Genomic DNA, 17661 nt, shown 5'->3' with positions numbered 1-17661 from the left:
TCACAACACTCTGTGGCCTGTGGCACCTTCTCCATAAAATAAGGCCCTGCCCCTTGGACATGGGTGGCCCCACAGAGCCTCATGGAGCCCAAGGCTTCCTGCTGACAGATGGCGGAATGGGTGGAGGCTCTCGGGATTGTCCAGGCAGGAGGAGTCCATGTAGGACTCTGGACCTGGCCAACCTGCAGGCTGAGGAGGAGAAGGAGAAGAAGAAGAAGAAGAAGGGCACTGCGGAGGAGCCAGAGGAGGAGGAGCCAGACGAGAGCATGCTGGACTGGTGGTCCAAGTACTTTGCCTCCATTGACACCATGAAGGAGGTGAGACCTCGGGTAGGGTGAGGGGAGGTGACCCCCTCCACACTCAGACCCTCCTGTCCAGCTTCTTTCCCACGGCCCCCAAGAGCTGGATCCCAACTCCATTCATGTGAGTTTGGGATGGTTTTGTCTCACATCCTTGAAATCCTAGCTCAGAACTCACCTTCCAAGATGATGGTCCCATCTACCTTCCCTGCTTGGTTTTCTTTTGTCCTCATTGACTCATTCCACAAATGCCTCTTGGGTATATGCGATGAGCCAGGCTCCATACTAGGTGCTATGGGAGCCAAAAGATGCCACACCTGCCCTGATGGGCCTCCGGTTTACTGGGCAAAATGGACATGTAAACAGAGACTTAGAGAGGACTATGTGATAACAAAGGCAAATCATGGCTTGGGGGAATCAGGGAAGGCGTCTCAGAGGAGGTGACCTTTGTGGAAAAGGAGAAACATGTTCTCAGAGGCCATAAGGGAACAACTGCTTATCAGTAGTCCTTACGACTCTTCTTCATAATGTTTTATTTTACACATCTTGGTCATCGGCACGTGAATGATTCTTCCCCTATTACACATATGTGGGTTCCATCTGTTTGGCCAGATTGCAAGTTCCAGAAAGCGCATTTCTCTGCTTTCTTGTTTGTGTCCTCTCCACGCTGCCTACCTAGCTCAGGGTGCTCTGACTGGCCACCTGACCAGGAGGGACACATGCCTGCAGTTGTGTTTCCTCAGTGGGGCCAGAGCTGATCCAGCCACATCCTCTCCCAGGCCCTTTCTGTGACCCAAGCTAGGTGTGATATTTATTAGAGCACACATTAAGCTGCTGTAGCAAGTTAGAGTGAAGTGAACAAGACAGCAGTTTATTTCTCACATAACATCTCAGAGAGTGGGGGTTAGGCTGGTATGGTGGCTCAGTGGTGTCAAGGACTAAGATCCTGACCTCTTGTTTGTCACATCTGTAAGGTTGGAGGTGACTCAACATCATGTTCTAATTCAAGTGCACAGGAAGGGTTAAAGAGGAGATGAGGCATATGCTTTTCTTTTTCAGGGCCCAATCCAGAAGCTGCACATATGACTTCCACTCACATTGATCAGAATCTAGTCCCTTAGCTACACTTATCTGCAAAGGAGGCTGGGAAATGTAATCTTTCACAAGGTGGCTGTGTGCTCAGCAAAACTTGTAAAAATAGGAGAACAGATCATTGAGGACAACTGGTAGTCTCGTCTCCCACCATCAAGTTGGCCAGGCTGGAGCTGCAAGAGGCTGCCTGTTGTCGTCTCTACTCCTGCAATTTTCACAGACTGCCACCAGGTGGCGGTGGCGACTTAGTTGAAACCTGGTTTCTAGTTTCTAGTAAGATTTATTCTCGTTTCCAGTAAGATGGGGTGTGCTGAGTGAAAGAAAATATAGTACATTTTCTTACTGTTATACTTTTGTACATTAAAACAATTTATTAATATCACTAAAAGCAACATTAAAATGCACTGTACTTTTTTAAGTAGAAAATGTAAATATTTATTGCAAGGTGTTATTTCTTTTTTTTTTAAATTATACTTTAAGTTCTAGGGTACATGTGCACAATGTGCAGGTTTGTTACATATGTATGCATGTGCCATGTTGGTGTGCTACACCCATTAACTCGTCATTTACAGTGGGTATTGCTCCTAATGCTATCCCTCCCCTCTCCCCCAGCACCACCACAGGCCCCGGTGTGTGATGTTCCCCTCCCTGTGTCCAAGTGTTCTCATTGTTCAGTTCCCTCCCATGAGTGAGAACATGCAGTGTTTGGTTTTCTGTCCTTGTGACAGTTTCTTCAGAATGATGGTTTCTGGCTTCATCCATGTCCCTGCAAAGGACATGAACTCATCCTTTTTTATGGCTGCATAGTATTCCATGGTGTATATGTGCCACAGATGCATAAACCCCTAAGTACCACTAGTCACACTGTACACATTATAAACTTTTTTTAACCCACTTAAGCAGAGCACATGGTGGACTTGAAATGCAGTAGGGAAGATTTTCTACTTCTAGTGCATTAAGACTGGTCTGGGCCCACAATTTGGGGTCAACAGACTCCTCCCCAGGAAACCCACCTTCTGTCCTTTTCATCTCATCTTTTGGCAGCAACTTCGACAACAAGAGCCCTCTGGAATTGACTTGGAGGAGAAGGAGGAAGTGGACAATACCGAGGGTGAGCCCTGGAACCTGGAACTCTGCCTCCTCCTCCCCGCCCCTGGGTGGTCAGCTCTCCTGCCCACCTCATCACCTGCTTCTCTTTTCCCTCCTGCCAGCCCTCCCAGCCTTAGTAGCCAGGGAAGCAGCATCAGTAATCCATGGGCAGTACTGGGCAGGCTAAGGCCCTTGTCCAGGGAGGCTTTTACTCTGACCAGTTCAGCACCCACAGTGATGGGCAGACATTTAGAGCCACAGAACATCAGAGCTAGAAGGGACCTCAGAGCTCATTCCATCCAGCATTTTCCAGACTCTTTTCCATGAAGAAAATTGATGGATGTTCTAGAAGGAACAAATTAGTTTTGGTCAAATTAGTTTAGGAAAAGCTGATTGAAACAGCTTGTTTTGGTGCAGGACTTTTCATACCCTTTACTGTGCAAATGTTATTATACATCTCTAAAAGGAAGACACAGTATAAAATATTTCCCCAGCTTATTGGATCACAGTACCCTTTCTTCTAAAGCATGCCAGCAGCATCTGCACCAGGTGCTCCACTGAATGAGGTTTGGGAAATGCTAATACAGAGTGTTATTATTATGGACAAGAAGAGGGAAGCTAGTGAGGAAAGTGAGTGGGCAAGGAACTGCGCAGCAACAGGCCTCCACCCCCAAACCCATGCTCCTTCCTGCCCCTCTCTTCCAAAGGGCATGAAGACAGTCTTCAGACACCTTCCCGGGCATAAACCCACTGGGGCCCCCAGCACCTCCATGAGGCGGGCATGCTAGGGAGTATTATCTGCATTTGACAGCACATGGACATCCGAGAGTTAAGTTAGTAAAGCAAATTAGCGACAGAGCTGGGTCTCGAATCCAGGCCTTCCTGCTCTGCTCATTTCTGCTCCACCTCCTTTTCTGCTTCTGGCCAGGCCTGAAGGGGTCAATGAAGGGCAAGGAGAAGGCAAGGGCTGCCAAAGAGGAGAAGAAGAAGAAAACTCAGAGCTCTGGCTCTGGCCAGGGGTCCGAGGCCCCCGAGAAGAAGAAACCCAAGATTGATGAGCTTAAGGTGAGAGCCTAGGAGCAGACCCTTCTAGGGTGTGTGGGGGCGGGAAGAGGGGGGCGCAGTGATCCTGCAGGTGGGGCAGGACAAAAGCCAGAGACCAGGCAGCCGCCCCCTAACAGCCTGGTCTGTCTCAGGTATACCCCAAAGAGCTGGAGTCCGAGTTTGATAACTTTGAGGACTGGCTGCACACTTTCAACTTGCTTCGGGGCAAGACCGGGGATGATGAGGATGGCTCCACCGAGGAGGAGCGCATTGTGGGACGCTTCAAGGTCAGGCCAGGAGCACGGGCCCAGCCTGAGCACCCGCCAGCCCTTGCCCCCCCCACAGGTTCCCCCACTCACCTCCCACCACTGCCCCGGCCACTGCCTCCAGAAGCCCTGGACTCTCCCATGACTCAGCAGTTAAAGGGTGAAGGCCCTGCCACATCAGGGTCCAGCCCTCCTGGTGCTGTTAGCTATTTTGAATGCCACCCTTGCCAGGCAAACCTACACCCTGACCCACATTTGTCTTGCCCAGGGCTCCCTCTGCGTGTACAAAGTGCCACTCCCAGAGGACGTGTCCCGGGAAGCCGGCTACGACTCCACCTACGGCATGTTCCAGGGCATCCCGAGCAATGACCCCATCAATGTGCTGGTCCGAGTCTATGTGGTCCGGGTGAGACTCCCGTCGCTTTCCCTCCTTGCAAGTCTCCTCATCCTCCCATCTGGGAGAGAGCAAAGAAGCTGCATACTGGCCAGGTGCAATGGTTTACGCCTGTAATCCCAGCACTTTGGGAGGCCAAGGCAGGAGGATCACCTGAGGTCAGGAGTTCGAGACCAGCCTGGCCAACATGGTTAAACCCCGTCTCTACTAAAAATACAAAAATTAGCCAGGCACAGTGCCACGCACCTGTAATCCCAGCTACTGAGGAGGCTGAGGCAGGAAAATCGCTTGAACCTGGGAGGTGGAGCTTGCAGTGAGCTGAGATCACGTCATTGCACTCCAGCCTGGGAGACAGAGCGAGACTCTGTCTCAAAGGAAAAAAAAAAGAAGAAGAAGCTGCATACTGACAGCCCCAGACTGGGAGGCACCAGGGAGATCATTTGGTCTAGTCTTTATCTTTTCTAGAGGAAGAAGTCAACGCCCAGAGAGGGGTAGCCACTTGCCTAGGGTCACACAGCAAGCCTCCTGAGGGGTCCAGTGCTCCTGCCCCTGCCCTTCACTGTCATAGGACCCTCAGGCAGCCTGGCAGGGGCACTGAAGATGAGCAGGGCATGGGAGCCTGCTCAGGCAGCCCTTCTCCCCATTCCAGGCCACGGACCTGCACCCTGCTGACATCAACGGCAAAGCTGACCCCTACATCGCCATCCGGCTAGGCAAGACTGACATCCGCGACAAGGAGAACTACATCTCCAAGCAGCTCAACCCTGTCTTTGGGAAGTAAGGCTTCTTGGTGCCCTCCCCTGCCACACCCCTACTTCTCCAACCCAGAACACCTCCCACCCTAGCCAATCCTTAAGCCCTTCTCCTAACTCCACCCCACCAGGTCCTTTGACATCGAGGCCTCCTTCCCCATGGAATCCATGCTGACGGTGGCTGTGTATGACTGGGACCTGGTGGGCACTGATGACCTCATTGGGGAAACCAAGATCGACCTGGAGAACCGCTTCTACAGCAAGCACCGCGCCACCTGCGGCATCGCCCAGACCTACTCCACGTATGTGGGGCATGGGGCAGAGGGCGGGGGCAGTGTGCCTGCTTTGCCTCCACTCTAAAATGAGATTCAGATCCTGGTGATTTGAGAGGTTAGACATTGTGGTTTCTGTCCCAGGCCAGGCCTCTGCCCCTACAGTCCCTGGGCACAGTCTTCAGGGGACAGGACTGCAGATCCCAAAACAAGGAGAGGGACAGTGGATTCCAGGACAGAGGAGGCAGGACGAGGAGAGACAAGTGGGCTAGGGAAGGTGGGGGCTAGCAAGAGGAGGACAGAAAGAGTCCCCTGGGGATCTGGGCCAGCTCTGCCACTTATAGGCTGTGTGACCCTGGCCAAGTCCCTTCACCTCTCTGGTTTTCAGTTTCCTCATGGGAGTCTCTGAGGTTCCAGAGGAGTGGGCACAGTGAGGGGATGCAGTGGGGCTAGGCTGGGGACACTGATATGTGGTCCAAGGCCCAGGGCAGGAAGGTTCAGCCTCCAGCAGCCCTAGTGTCTCAGGTGAGCCTGGGGCCCAGGGCAGGAGGAATCAGGCTCACTTGCTGATGAGGGCAACAGCCAACTTTAGAGAACTGGCCACGACCAGCTGTCATCCAGGATGGCTTAGTCCCACCCAGCCCCTCCAAGCCTGTGTGTCCCCTCCCACAGACATGGCTACAATATCTGGCGGGACCCCATGAAGCCCAGCCAGATCCTGACCCGCCTCTGCAAAGACGGCAAAGTGGACGGCCCCCACTTTGGGCCCCCTGGGAGAGTGAAGGTGGCCAACCGCGTCTTCACTGGGCCCTCTGAGATTGAGGACGAGAACGGTAATGGGGCACTGGATGCAGCCGCCTGCCCCCTCTCCAGGGGGTTTCAGAGGCCAGGAGGGGCCCACACTTCCCTGGGGAACCTCACAGCCTAGCCTGGGGTGTCCTCAGCCTAAACCTGGTCTTAGTGACCCTCTGCTCATCACCCCAGAGCCCCGTTCCTGTCTGCCCAGCCTCTGTGCTTCCACCCCTCCTACAGGGCAGCCCCACCTGCTTTCTCTCTGTCCAAATCCCAGTGAGGTAGAGAGGCTATCTGCATCCCATTCTGCAGATAAACAAACCAAGATCCTACTTCTAGTGACTCGCCCAAGGTCATGTGGCTCTTTAGAGGCAGAGCGAGGGCATCGGCCCAGGTCCATCTGGCTCTAATCCTTAAACTCTCCTTACTTCTCTGTCCATGAGGCACTTCCCAGAGAAGCAGAGAATTGGGAGGTGTCTGTGCTGGTATCTGATCACTTTCAGGTGCTGGGACAGGAAGTGGATTCTCCCCTCCCTGACCCTTCTCTCAGCCCAGCAGGGCTCTCCAGTCAACTTCCCCAAGCAGAGGACCAAGGGCACAGACCTCTCTTGGCCCTGTGGGGCAGCTGAGACCCTGGGCAAGCCACTTCTCCTTCTGTGCCTCAGTTTCCCCAACAGTGAAAAGGAGGTGGGGTAGACAGGTGATGGCATAGAGGCTTCTTTGTGCTCCTAAGTCCCTAGTCCCAGCAAAGGTCTTCTGGTTCTGCTGAGCCATGTGTGCAGCTGAGCCGCCGGCACCCACAGGTCAGAGGAAGCCCACAGACGAGCATGTGGCGCTGTTGGCCCTGAGGCACTGGGAGGACATCCCCCGCGCAGGCTGCCGCCTGGTGCCAGAGCATGTGGAGACGAGGCCGCTGCTCAACCCCGACAAGCCGGGCATCGAGCAGGTGACACTTGCATGGCCAAGACTGGGGTTCTTGGGTATTGGGGACCAGGGATCCCCAACCTGAGTCAGTAAAGGTAGAAGCCAGGCCTCACGCTGTCCGCTGCATTCCAGAAAGCCTGGCAGGCACCTTCCCACCAAGGCCCCTCAGGGTAACTTGAATGGCAAGGGTCTTTGCTTTGAGTGAGAATTACATCAGCTCAGGCAGAGACCTGGGTTGTCTCCCTCAGAAGCTGTGATTGGCTATTGGTGACATCATAGGAATTCCTGGCATCCAAAGATGGAAACTGATGAACTGGGTCCTTGACAGAACAAAGGTTAGGAGGGAGAGGAGAGCTGATCTTCCTGGGCAGAGGGAGAAGGCCCTGGGAGATCTGCCACAACCCTCTTCCTCAGGGCCGCCTGGAGCTGTGGGTGGACATGTTCCCCATGGACATGCCAGCCCCTGGGACGCCTCTGGACATCTCACCTCGGAAGCCCAAGAAGTGAGCGGCCTGGGGCCCAGCGCTACTCCCTTCCGGCCCACCCCACCCACTTCCCACCACGGCCCAACCCTTCCTGCGGGGGGCTCAGGTCCAGATGGCCTTGGCCAGTTGGCATCCCTGGGGCCTGGGTGTGGCCACTGGGCCTTATAGGGGAGAAACTGACCAACCAATCGATAGAGTTTAGGGCCTGCCCTGGAGAGTCCCCACGTGCTAAGGCAGGACAACGCCTTCCACCCTGCATCAGTGAGCGAGACAAGCCCCACACAGCACACTCCGGTGCATTGTATCTACACGGTCTACGCGCCCATACACATGCATCTCATGCACACACACACACACAGCATAGCACTCCCACGGACACCCACACACATGCCCACACTGACGCACTCCTTCACAACACACAGAACCCCTGGGAGCCGGCCCTGCGTCATCCTCACATCCAGGCTAGTGTGATGTTCCGCCAAGTTTTCTTTGGAGTGCCTGCCAGTGATGAATCCAGGAGTGAGTGCCTGGAAGAGGCAGGAGGTGGTAGAGTGAAAAGAACCCGGGTTTCCCATCCATAAAGCGGCAGGTTCAAGTCCAGCTGTCAGACAGTGACTGGATTCAGGGCCAGCTTCAGGGATGGAGGAAGCCACACAGGGTCCCACTCTTGTTTCCATGCTCCTATGTTGCCATCTTGAAATTCTTTATGACAAGTGACCCTGCATTTCCATTTGGCGCTGGCCCCAGCAAATCATGCAGCAAATTCTGCCAGGAATGTCCTGGAAACCTGAGGCCATGAGTCAGCTGTTCCAGGGCCTGTCATTAGGGGGCACCCAACTCACTGGGCCACTCTGGGCTCGCAGCCCTGTCTGCAATCCCAGGAGAGCCATGCTCAGATCAATTTTTAGTGAATGACTCAGCCTCACTCTTAATGATTGAAATGAACTACATCATTCATAATTACAATTAAACCTTGAGGGGAAAATCCTCTTTGGGGACAGGGACATACAGCTTCCATGGGCTTCCATTGCTGGCTACTGGGCTTAAATGCAGACTTCTCTTGGAACTAGCATCTGAGACAGAGGGTGGCTTCCTCCCCTCACCCCACCCCCACCGCCCACAGCCATGTGCCTGGTGGGCCTTCTCACTCATGCCTCTGCTCCCCCAACCCCAAACCACTCCTCCAGCCCCAGCCTGGCCCAGGCCCTGTGCTGACCCCAAGACCCCAGGGCTTCTCTCCGCCTGCCCCATCCCAGCCCTGGCACCCTGGCATAACCCCCACCTGGGGCTGCTAACCAGCCTTCTCTCCCTGGGCCCAGGTACGAGCTGCGGGTCATCATCTGGAACACAGATGAGGTGGTCTTGGAGGACGACGACTTCTTCACAGGGGAGAAGTCCAGTGACATCTTCGTGAGGGGGTGGGTGAGCAGTCCCTGCATGGGAGGGACTGAGCTGGGTGGGGCTTGCTTCCCGGGGGGCAGGAGAGGAGGCAGAGGGAAGGTGGCTGTGGGTGGGAGAGGCCCCACCAGCCTGGCTGCGGGTCTGGAGATGTGGCGCCCACAGGTGGCTGAAGGGCCAGCAGGAGGACAAGCAGGACACAGACGTCCACTACCACTCCCTCACTGGCGAGGGCAACTTCAACTGGCGCTACCTGTTCCCCTTCGACTACCTGGCGGCGGAGGAGAAGATCGTCATCTCCAAGAAGGAGTCCATGTTCTCCTGGGACGAGACCGAGTACAAGATCCCCGCGCGGCTCACCCTGCAGATCTGGGATGCGGACCACTTCTCCGCTGACGACTTCCTGGGTGCAGAGCAGGGCAGGGATGGGGGTTCAGGATCCAGAACTGAGAAGAGGCAGGGGCCGGGTTGGCGGGGACAGGGAGAGCCCTGCCTTGGGGGGACAAGGGGTCATTGCTTCCAGTCCATCAGAGCCAGGGGTGTCCGACGGGGTTCCGCCCCCAAGGACCCACCTAACCGTCCCTAGGCAGATGTTCTCAGTGTCATAACCAGGCTGACAACAAGCTTTGGACACACCAAGGAGGGGGCAGTCAGTGATGATGGGGGAGGGGAGAGGCTCCCTAAGGGAGTCGGGAAACCTCCCTGGGCCTCAGGTTGCTTCTCTGTAAAGCAGGGATTCTCCCTAAAACTCTAATCTGCATCTGCAAAAGCTTGTGGGATTAGCAGGACTTTGACAGAATGGATGCATGGCAGGGAGTGGCAGGGGAGACCCCAGGAGAGACCCTCTGGGGTGAAAGAAGGACCTGAGTAAAGCATGGGGGCTGGGGCTGCCTAGCAAGCCCACGAGGATGCCTGCATTGAGGCCAGTTGCTGGGAGTGAGGCAGGAGGATGAGATGTGGGCTCAGGGAGGTCTGCACTCAGCAAACAAGGGGCCGAGGAGCCCAGACCCCCACCCCCACCCCGCCCCACCCCAGCCCTGTTCACTCTGAGCTGACACTGAGGTTGCCACAGGGGCCATCGAGCTGGACCTGAACCGGTTCCCGCGGGGCGCAAAGACAGCCAAGCAGTGCACCATGGAGATGGCCACCGGGGAGGTGGACGTGCCCCTCGTGTCCATCTTCAAGCAAAAGCGCGTCAAAGGCTGGTGGCCCCTCCTGGCCCGCAATGAGAACGATGAGTTTGAGCTCACGGTGCGCACCCCTTCCTGCTCGGGCAGTAGGCAGGGCTGGGACTGGCTGGGGTGCCAAGGGCCCAGCACGCAGCCTGGACGCTGGGACCTGTCTGTCCTCTGCAGGGCAAGGTGGAGGCTGAGCTGCATTTACTGACAGCAGAGGAGGCAGAGAAGAACCCAGTGGGCCTGGCCCGCAATGAACCTGACCCCCTAGAGAAACCCAAGTGAGTGCCCTGCCGGCCCAGCCCCTCCCCACTCTGGCTCTTGGAGGCGCTGGAACAGGAAGGAGACGATCCCCAGACACCCCATCTCTTCCTGGGCCACAGCCTCATTACAGGGGAGCCTCCTCCCTGCCCTCTGCCAACCCTGAATCCCACAACGTCCCTTTGAACCAGAGGATGGGCTAGGAATACTGGAGAGCAGGACCTTCCCTGGGAAAGGCCCCATCTAGCGGAGAGAAACTATGCTCTTCCCTTCCTAGCTTTTGCAGAAGAGCCAGCTCCAGTGGTGGCCTCTGGGGCCATGGCCAGCCTTGATGGCCAGAGGGGTGCCTAGAACTGCACACACAGCCCAGGACAGCTTCCCTCTTGGTCTTGGCCCCTCGCCACACCCAATCCCTTCTCCTCCCTGTCCCTCCTCTGCGCTCTCTACCCTTCATACTCCAGCCGGCCCGACACGAGCTTCATCTGGTTCCTGAACCCTCTCAAGTCGGCTCGCTACTTCTTGTGGCACACGTATCGCTGGCTGCTCCTCAAACTGTTGCTGCTCCTGCTGCTGCTCCTCCTCCTCGCCCTGTTCCTCTACTCTGTGCCTGGCTACCTGGTCAAGAAAATCCTCGGGGCCTGAGCCCAGTGGCCTCCTGGGTCTGATATTTCTTACTTCTTCCTCTGGACCAAGGGCTAGGCAGGCGCGTGCACACACACACATATACACGCACACATCCACAAACACAAATATGCATACATGTGCACACAAACACACACAAGCATGTATGCACACATGTGCCACGCACAAGTGCATACACATGCACTCAAGCACACACAGGCACACACTTAAGCCCACACAAACATGCACAGCAACTTTCAAGCTTTCATGACAGAATAGACTCTCAGAACTAGAAATGACTATTTTACACTTTTCCACATTAAGCCAAAGAGGTGAAGTAGCTTGCTCAAGGTTACCCAGCAAATTAGGGTAGAGCCGGGACTCAAGCCAAGGTTTCCAAATTTCCAATCCTGTGTTCTTTGCACACCACCTCTGCTCCCAGCCATGTTTCTCCCAGACTGTAACCCAATTTTTTTTTTTTTTTTTTTTTTTTGGAGACAGAGTCTCGCTCTGTCGCCCAGGCTAGAGTGCAGTGGCACAATCTTGGCTCACTGCCAGCTCCGCCTCCCGGGTTCACGCCATTCTCCTGCCTCAGCCTCCTGAGTAGCTGGGACTACAGGCACCCGCCACCACGCCTGGATAATTTTTTGTATTTTTAGTAGAGACGGGGTTTCACTGTGTTAGCCAGGATGGTCTCGATCTCCTGACCTCGTGATCCGCCCATCTCGGCCTCCCAAAGTGCTGGGATTACAGGCGTGAGCCACCGCGCCCAGCCGACTCTAACCCAATTTCATTGGCAGAAAGAAGCTGAGCTATGGACAGGGAAAAGGGAAGGGTGTGGCCAGGGTTAGCCAACAGGTCTGGAAATGGCTCTCACCCGTGTGTGACCTCCCAGTCCAGGGCTGTTGTTTTCTGCCCTTCAGGATAATAATTCCATTCAACTCAAACATTTCATAGCCACCATGGCCTGAACACCCAACTGCAGGTGCTCAGAGCTCCCCAGGCACTGGCTCACTGTGCCATTGCGCCAAACCCAGGAGGTAGGTACTGCTTGTAACCCCATTTTATACATGAAGAAACCGAGGTTGATAGAGGTGCCTCACTTGCCTGTGAAAACCATTCAAAACCAGGTGCCCTGCACCCAAGCCCCGGCTCTGTGTCCCCACCAATACTGAGCTCAGCTCTGGGGCTGCACGCCATGTCCTCTGGGAGGCAGTAGTTTGAAAATGCATATGCAGTACTTTCACTTGTATCTTGACATTTTACAAAACCTATTGTTTTTATAACACAAACGACAGATAGTGAGGCTGGCCAGGTGCTTCTCGGCTGGGAGGCTCTACAGAAGGTGGAGTGGGTCTTCATCCTGAGAGTGGGCAGGTCGGTGAGGGCAGCTTGCACCCCACAGGGGCTGCTCAGACCCTCAGCAGGGCCCGGTGGGAACAGCCATTTATGTCCATCAGAAAGGAAGAGGTTGTGAAGCACCAGTCTTACCAAGGACGTGGGGCAGCACATAGAACGAGCTAACCGCAGGAGCTTCCTAACGATGAGAACTGCCTGCAGGGCCAAGGCTGCCCCATGCTGCAAGTAGCTCCCATCTAGGCCTTAGGAGGAGATTCGGGCCCCAAAGGTGCTGCAGGGAGGATAGAGTTTTGTAAGCAGCAAGTCGGGTACTTAGAAATGGGTTTAAACCCTGGCTCCAGCATTCACTGCTTTTGGGGCTGGGGCCATGGCAGGGCTTTTGGGGGTCCAGAAGGACAGAGGATGGGGTGCACTGGGAGGCAGCTCCTGCCCACTGGCTGACCGGCTCCTCTCTTCCACTTCCCAGCCGGCCCGACACGGCCTTCGTCTGGTTCCTCAACCCTCTCAAGTCCATCAAGTACCTCATCTGCACCCGGTACAAGTGGCTCATCATCAAGATCGTGCTGGCGCTGTTGGGGCTGCTCATGTTGGGGCTCTTCCTCTACAGCCTCCCTGGCTACATGGTCAAAAAGCTCCTTGGGGCATGAAGGCCGCCAGCTCCCGCCAGCCGCTCCCCAGCCCTGCCGCATTTCCTTTCAGTGGCTTGGACTCTTTCCCATCTCCCCTGGGGAGCCTGAGGAGCCCAGCGTCCACTCTTCATGCCTTGGGCCGAGCCTGCCTCCTGCTTGCGGGGGCCGCCTGTCCTCACTGCCCCAGGCTGCGGCTTGCCCAGTCCCGCCCCTCTGACCCCTGCCTGTGGGCTGGGGAGCCTTGGATGGGGTGGGGACCTGGAATGGGTCTCTCTTGCCCCACCTGGCTGAGGCGCCACCCTTCTTCAGGCCCAGGCTCCAGAGGAAGACTCCTGAAACCCTCCCCAGGTCTTCCAAGTACAGGATTGAAGCTTTAGTGAAATTAACCAAGGACCATGGGTCAGTGCCCAGGGCTTTAAAAAGAATGAACGAGCAAAAGGTATCCCCGCCGTGACCCCTGCAGATAGCACCGGTCTTTGATCCGCAGCAGGGGCCAGACCCTGCCCACAAGTCCCAGCGCGGCTGCTTCTGCCACTGCTGGGCTCCACTTGGCTCCTCTCACTTCCCAGGGGGTCGCCTGTCCTGCCTGTGGGTTTCCATGGCTTCCCAGAGCTCCCTCTGCCCCAGCCAGCGCCTCCAGGCCCAGCTGAGGAGCTGTGAGAAGCAGCAGAGGGGACTCCCCATCCCGGGCACACCCTGTCCTCCCACCCCTGCCCCCTTGCCCTTCCAGCCCTTTCAGCTGCAGCTGGGAGCTGGCCCGTCAAGTGCTGCCCCTGCCTGTGTCTGGGTTTCTGTTGGCTGTTTTTCTTTTCTTGAGTGGTGATTTTTCTCTAAATAAAAGAAGTCAAGCACTGAGCTGACAGGTCTGCACTGGTCAAGCTGAGAGGAGCAGCCGCAGGTGCGGGGCAGAGGCAGCAGTTCTCTAGGCTGGCAGATTCAGTACCAGCAGGGCTCCCATGGCCTTTCCCCTTCAAGTGGCCTCTGGTGGCCCAGGGTTCAAGGCAGGCCTCAGGCACAGGGCTGCCCACCCAGGCTGCCCACAGGAGGAGTCTTACACCATAGCCCAAAGGGCACACCAGCCTGGGCCCAGGGGCCCCCAAAGCACCGAAAGAATCCTTCAGGTCTGGGGCCAGTCTGAAGGCTTAAGGCCCCACAAGGGCCCAAAAGCTCTAGCCTCCACCCACAGAAACCAGTTCCCCTGAAAGCAAGAAAGGAGCCCCACGCTACTGGCCTCGGCCTCTGACTCACACCACTATCTGAGCCTGGGGCAAAGTCCCCTCATGACACAGAGGTAGGGGCAAGGGCCTGGTCTTGCTAGACCTGACCTCTTTAAAGAGATTCAGCCACAACTTTAAAAGGCTTTAATCATAATGCAGGACACAGGTAACTCCTCTGGCTCCTTATTTCGACAGGCTATAAAGACAGCCCTGGAAAATCCAGAGAGCAGGCCCAGGTGCGGCCCAGTGGGTGATATGAGCTGGCTCCGGCACAGACACCAGCATCAGGCCAGCCCTAACACATCAGCCTTTGGCGGTCCAGCTCATTTTGTGGGTACCCGCAACACCTGAGTGGGAGGAACTTGCAGTTCAGAGTTGATCTGGAAAAGAAAGGGTGAAAGTCGTTACATTTTTCCCAGGGCCCTCCTTCTTTGCCACCCTTGCGAGCCACGCTGGCTCTCCCATGGGCCTCCAAAGCCCTGCACGCATCTCCTCTCCAAAGCTGAGAGATGCTGAACACCCACAGACTGCCTCCCTGCAGGAGACACGCCTGAGCCTTCTTGCTCAGCTTCTGCTCCAGCTGTGACCTCTGGTAGCGTTCTTCATCTCCCGCCCGTCCATTCTCTGCAGTCTTCCCCTCTCCTCTCTCCACGCACCCATGCCATCCCCAATCTAGCCTGCCCCACCTCTTCCTCCCCCAGCCTCTTGTATACAGTAGCATCTGTGGAAGCGGGAACCATACCGTCCAGAATGTCTGGGTCCTGTCACAGGCCAAGGGTCATTATGAGGCCAAGGTTCACTACAACATCCCACTTTCAGCTGTGGCCTGGGACCTGGGACTGTGCTGGGGCCACGCAGCCCCTGTGGCTGGACTTGGAGCTGGCCTCAGTCACCTCACACGTGTGCAACTAACAGCTGCGTCACGACCTTCCTGGCCTACAGCCCCAGCTGCAGGTGCCCACACCCGCAGAGCAGGAAATGTCAGCAATGGACTTTTTCCTTCCTCCTCTTGCCAGGCCATGGGGAAGTTGTCCACAACTATTGCAGGGTTGGGCACAGATGGGGGCCAGGGAATATCTGCCCCAGCAGAGCCTCCTTCCCCATGCGAGGATGACCCTCCAGTCATATCCCAGGCAGGGAACCGGGGCTGGTGGGTGGAAAGAGCCCAGGCTCTGGACGAGTTGCAAACTCTGCAAGTTGTGATTGTCCTTTGTGTGAAATGAGGAGCATTGTTTCCGCCCTGTCCACCTCACACAGCGGGTGTGAGGATGGAAGAAGAGAGCACAGCTGGAGGCTCTGTAGCTGGGGAGCTGCTCCTGGCTGTGGCACTGCTTCACACAGAGCAGTCCCAGCTGGCCACTGGCACCAGAAACCACAGTATCAAAGAGACACTGTCACACCTGAGCTGTCCTGGAGGAGACTTCAGGCAAGATCTACTCCTTTGGCCAGTAGTTGTCTCAAGGTGCCACTCTTGATTTTTTACATCATATCACAAAGCTCCCTTGCCTCTGACGGGGAGGGGACTCCTCGTTCCCTAATCCCAGCTCCAGTGCCCCTGCCCCACCCGTGTCTCCCGCTGCCCCTCCTTGGAAGGCCCCGCCGCCCACCTTGGAGTTCAGATACTGCTGCAGTAGCGCCTGCAGCTCTGTGTTCTGCTGCTCCAGAGAACTGTTTTCCAGCAGCAGCTTGGCCCTCTGGGTCAGGACAAGGCTTTGGACAGAAAAATCGGTTAGAGGCTCACTGAATCCTCCATCCTCTGCCAAGTAGGGGCCAGGGTCTTGGTGGTTGTACTTTGGCTACAGGTGGAGGGAGACTCCAGAAGCTACACTCTTCACCCAGCCGCCAGGTGAGCCAGGTTAGCAGGAACAGAACAGGCAGGCCAGGGCCCAAGAGCCAACTGCCCCACATGATCCACCCACACAGGAGATGCCAAGGGCAGCTCTTCCCTCCCAGGTTCAGTGGGACAGGGAGGCAGCAAACGCGGCTGCTCCCAACAACCGTTCCTCACCTGCCCGCCAGCACCCTCCTGCTCCATGACATGCACACTTACTGGTACTTCTCCAAGGCTGTGTAGAGGGCATCCCAGAGGTTCTGCTTGGAGGAAGGGATCACTGTGGTCAGGGCCTGCCAGTACTCCGAGTCCTTGGAGTTGTCACGCACATTCTTCTGTACCCTCAGCGGGGCCCGCGAGTCCCTGAAGGCCAAGAGCACAGTGATTGTCATGTCCATTGGGTACTACCCAGGCCCCCAGGCAGTGCCAGTCACAGGCCTACTGCTTTCCCACCTGTCACCTTCCCACTCAGCAGTCCAAGTTTATTAGACGGTGGCAGGTTCTCAGAAAGGACGCATGCTTATTGTCAACGTTCCTGCCTCGGTACCACCGGTACCTTCGTGAGGGCATAATCCGTGCTTCATCCACCCCTCTCTCTCCCAATCAGTTTACCTCACTGGCTTTACAGCTCATCACTGTGCCCATCTCTTGCACCAACACATCCAAAACAGCACTTGAATTCAGTCATGTCCTCTCCATCCCCTCATGACAGCCTTAATCTGGGGGATCCTCACCTCCCACCTGGACAAGCCTCCTGATGCTTTCCCTGTATCCAGCTTCGCCCCTTCCCTGACGCCACAATGATCTCTCTAAAACGCAAGGCTAATCATGGCTCTTCGGCTGCTTCAAATCCTTTTCTGGCTCCCACCCACCAACGGGTAAAGACAAAGATCTTGGGCACATTGGGCAAGGCTCTCCAAGACCTGGCTAGCTCCCCACCCACCAGTGCCACCTCCCAGGCCCTTGACACTCCAGCCAGACCTCCTGTGATGATTCTTGAACAGACCAGACCTTCCCCATGCTGTCATTTCCTGAAATGCCCTTACCTCCATTTTATCTGCCTGGGAACACCTAGTTCCAGTGCCATTTCCTCCCAAAACCCTCTGACATGCCAAATGGAAACGGCCACTTCCTCCTCTGAACAATGGTGCACCTTGAATGTGCTTTGACCATTACTCTGATCACAAGGCAGTGCCCCCACAGTGCTTACACATGGCAGCCTTCAGTGCATGTCTGCTGAATGAATGATGAGTGAAAAAAGCACAGATCACCACTATGCCCTATTGCTTTCCTGACTGTCCAGCGATTGGTTGCCCCAGCCCGCCTTCAGATAGCCCTGTCCTTAGTCCCCGCATCTTGCCCAGCAGACTCTTCTCCACTCACTGGCTCTGCCTGGCTCCCCAGCCCATCCAGCTCCCCTGGTTCTGGTCTCAGGCAAGCCTTCCAGCCCCGCAGCCCACCTAGGCTTCTTCAGACCCATGACGAAGGCCTCCAGAATCTTGAGGACATCATTGGGGTGGATGACCCAGGGGGAGGGTGGGGTCTCCTCCTCTTCCTCCTTCTCCCCTTCCACCAGGCTTTCTTCCTTTTCTCCCTCCATCTCCGTCTGCTCTGCCAGCTCCAATTCTGACCTCGTGCTTGTCTCCTCCATGCTCGCCTTCTCCATGCTCGCCTGACTGCAGGGCTTGATCTGGAGAAAGATGCACGGACAACTGTGGGCTGGGGACACACGAGCATGAGCATGGAGAGAGAGGCAGGAAG

General features: G+C 55.9%; 2 protein-coding genes across 7 annotated transcripts in view, besides 5 other annotated features; one reads left to right on the top strand and one right to left on the bottom strand.

The window, feature by feature from the left end:
- OTOF (otoferlin) overlaps positions 1-13707 on the top strand; it is a 101554-nt gene extending 87847 nt beyond the window's left edge. For 3 of the 5 annotated variants that reach the window (NM_194248.3, NM_004802.4, NM_194322.3), the window contains 16 exons: positions 189-317; positions 2436-2502; positions 3409-3545; positions 3677-3811; positions 4059-4196; positions 4834-4961; positions 5068-5238; positions 5881-6041; positions 6804-6946; positions 7339-7427; positions 8729-8827; positions 8973-9214; positions 9880-10058; positions 10163-10263; positions 10705-10902; positions 12690-13707. In NM_194248.3, coding sequence (NP_919224.1) covers positions 189-317; positions 2436-2502; positions 3409-3545; positions 3677-3811; positions 4059-4196; positions 4834-4961; positions 5068-5238; positions 5881-6041; positions 6804-6946; positions 7339-7427; positions 8729-8827; positions 8973-9214; positions 9880-10058; positions 10163-10263; positions 10705-10885 — 2100 coding nt within the window. In that variant the 3' untranslated portion in view covers positions 10886-10902; positions 12690-13707. The remainder of the gene's footprint in view (positions 1-188; positions 318-2435; positions 2503-3408; positions 3546-3676; positions 3812-4058; positions 4197-4833; positions 4962-5067; positions 5239-5880; positions 6042-6803; positions 6947-7338; positions 7428-8728; positions 8828-8972; positions 9215-9879; positions 10059-10162; positions 10264-10704; positions 10903-12689) is intronic. The other 2 variants (NM_001287489.2, NM_194323.3) reach the window with 1 other exon arrangement.
- Positions 6859-8058: an enhancer, noted in NCBI's record as "BRD4-independent group 4 enhancer chr2:26685720-26686919 (GRCh37/hg19 assembly coordinates)". NCBI's record gives its function as "activates an origin of replication core promoter dependent on BRD2, P300/CBP, MED14 and CDK7 cofactors, and independent of BRD4, by STARR-seq in HCT116 cells {active_cell/tissue: HCT116}" and the evidence as "EXISTENCE:reporter gene assay evidence [ECO:0000049][PMID:35650434]".
- Positions 6995-7289: an enhancer, noted in NCBI's record as "tiled region #888; HepG2 Activating non-DNase unmatched - State 8:EnhW, and K562 Activating non-DNase unmatched - State 7:EnhWF". NCBI's record gives its function as "activates a minimal TATA promoter and a strong SV40 promoter by Sharpr-MPRA in HepG2 and K562 cells {active_cell/tissue: HepG2 | K562}" and the evidence as "EXISTENCE:reporter gene assay evidence [ECO:0000049][PMID:27701403]".
- Positions 9744-10449: an enhancer, noted in NCBI's record as "H3K4me1 hESC enhancer chr2:26683329-26684034 (GRCh37/hg19 assembly coordinates)". NCBI's record gives its function as "activates a minimal SCP1, AML or CMV promoter by ChIP-STARR-seq in naive H9 embryonic stem cells {active_cell/tissue: H9 hESC(naive)}" and the evidence as "EXISTENCE:reporter gene assay evidence [ECO:0000049][PMID:30033119]".
- Positions 12138-12707: an enhancer, noted in NCBI's record as "H3K4me1 hESC enhancer chr2:26681071-26681640 (GRCh37/hg19 assembly coordinates)". NCBI's record gives its function as "activates a minimal SCP1, AML or CMV promoter by ChIP-STARR-seq in primed H9 embryonic stem cells {active_cell/tissue: H9 hESC(primed)}" and the evidence as "EXISTENCE:reporter gene assay evidence [ECO:0000049][PMID:30033119]".
- Positions 12708-13278: an enhancer, noted in NCBI's record as "H3K4me1 hESC enhancer chr2:26680500-26681070 (GRCh37/hg19 assembly coordinates)". NCBI's record gives its function as "activates a minimal SCP1, AML or CMV promoter by ChIP-STARR-seq in primed H9 embryonic stem cells {active_cell/tissue: H9 hESC(primed)}" and the evidence as "EXISTENCE:reporter gene assay evidence [ECO:0000049][PMID:30033119]".
- Positions 14199-17661, bottom strand: part of DRC1 (dynein regulatory complex subunit 1) — a 54792-nt gene continuing 51329 nt past the window's right edge. For both annotated transcript variants that reach the window (NM_145038.5, XM_047446339.1), the window contains 4 exons: positions 17361-17590; positions 16120-16263; positions 15677-15779; positions 14199-14449 (listed from right to left, as the gene is read on the bottom strand). In NM_145038.5, coding sequence (NP_659475.2) covers positions 14393-14449; positions 15677-15779; positions 16120-16263; positions 17361-17590 — 534 coding nt within the window. In that variant the 3' untranslated portion in view covers positions 14199-14392. The remainder of the gene's footprint in view (positions 14450-15676; positions 15780-16119; positions 16264-17360; positions 17591-17661) is intronic.

Source organism: Homo sapiens, chromosome 2 (genome assembly GCF_000001405.40).
Source record: "Homo sapiens chromosome 2, GRCh38.p14 Primary Assembly".
Lineage (NCBI taxonomy): Eukaryota > Metazoa > Chordata > Mammalia > Primates > Hominidae > Homo > Homo sapiens.
The sequence above is the reverse complement of the archived record's forward strand: the minus strand, read 5'-3'. Positions and strand labels throughout refer to the sequence as shown.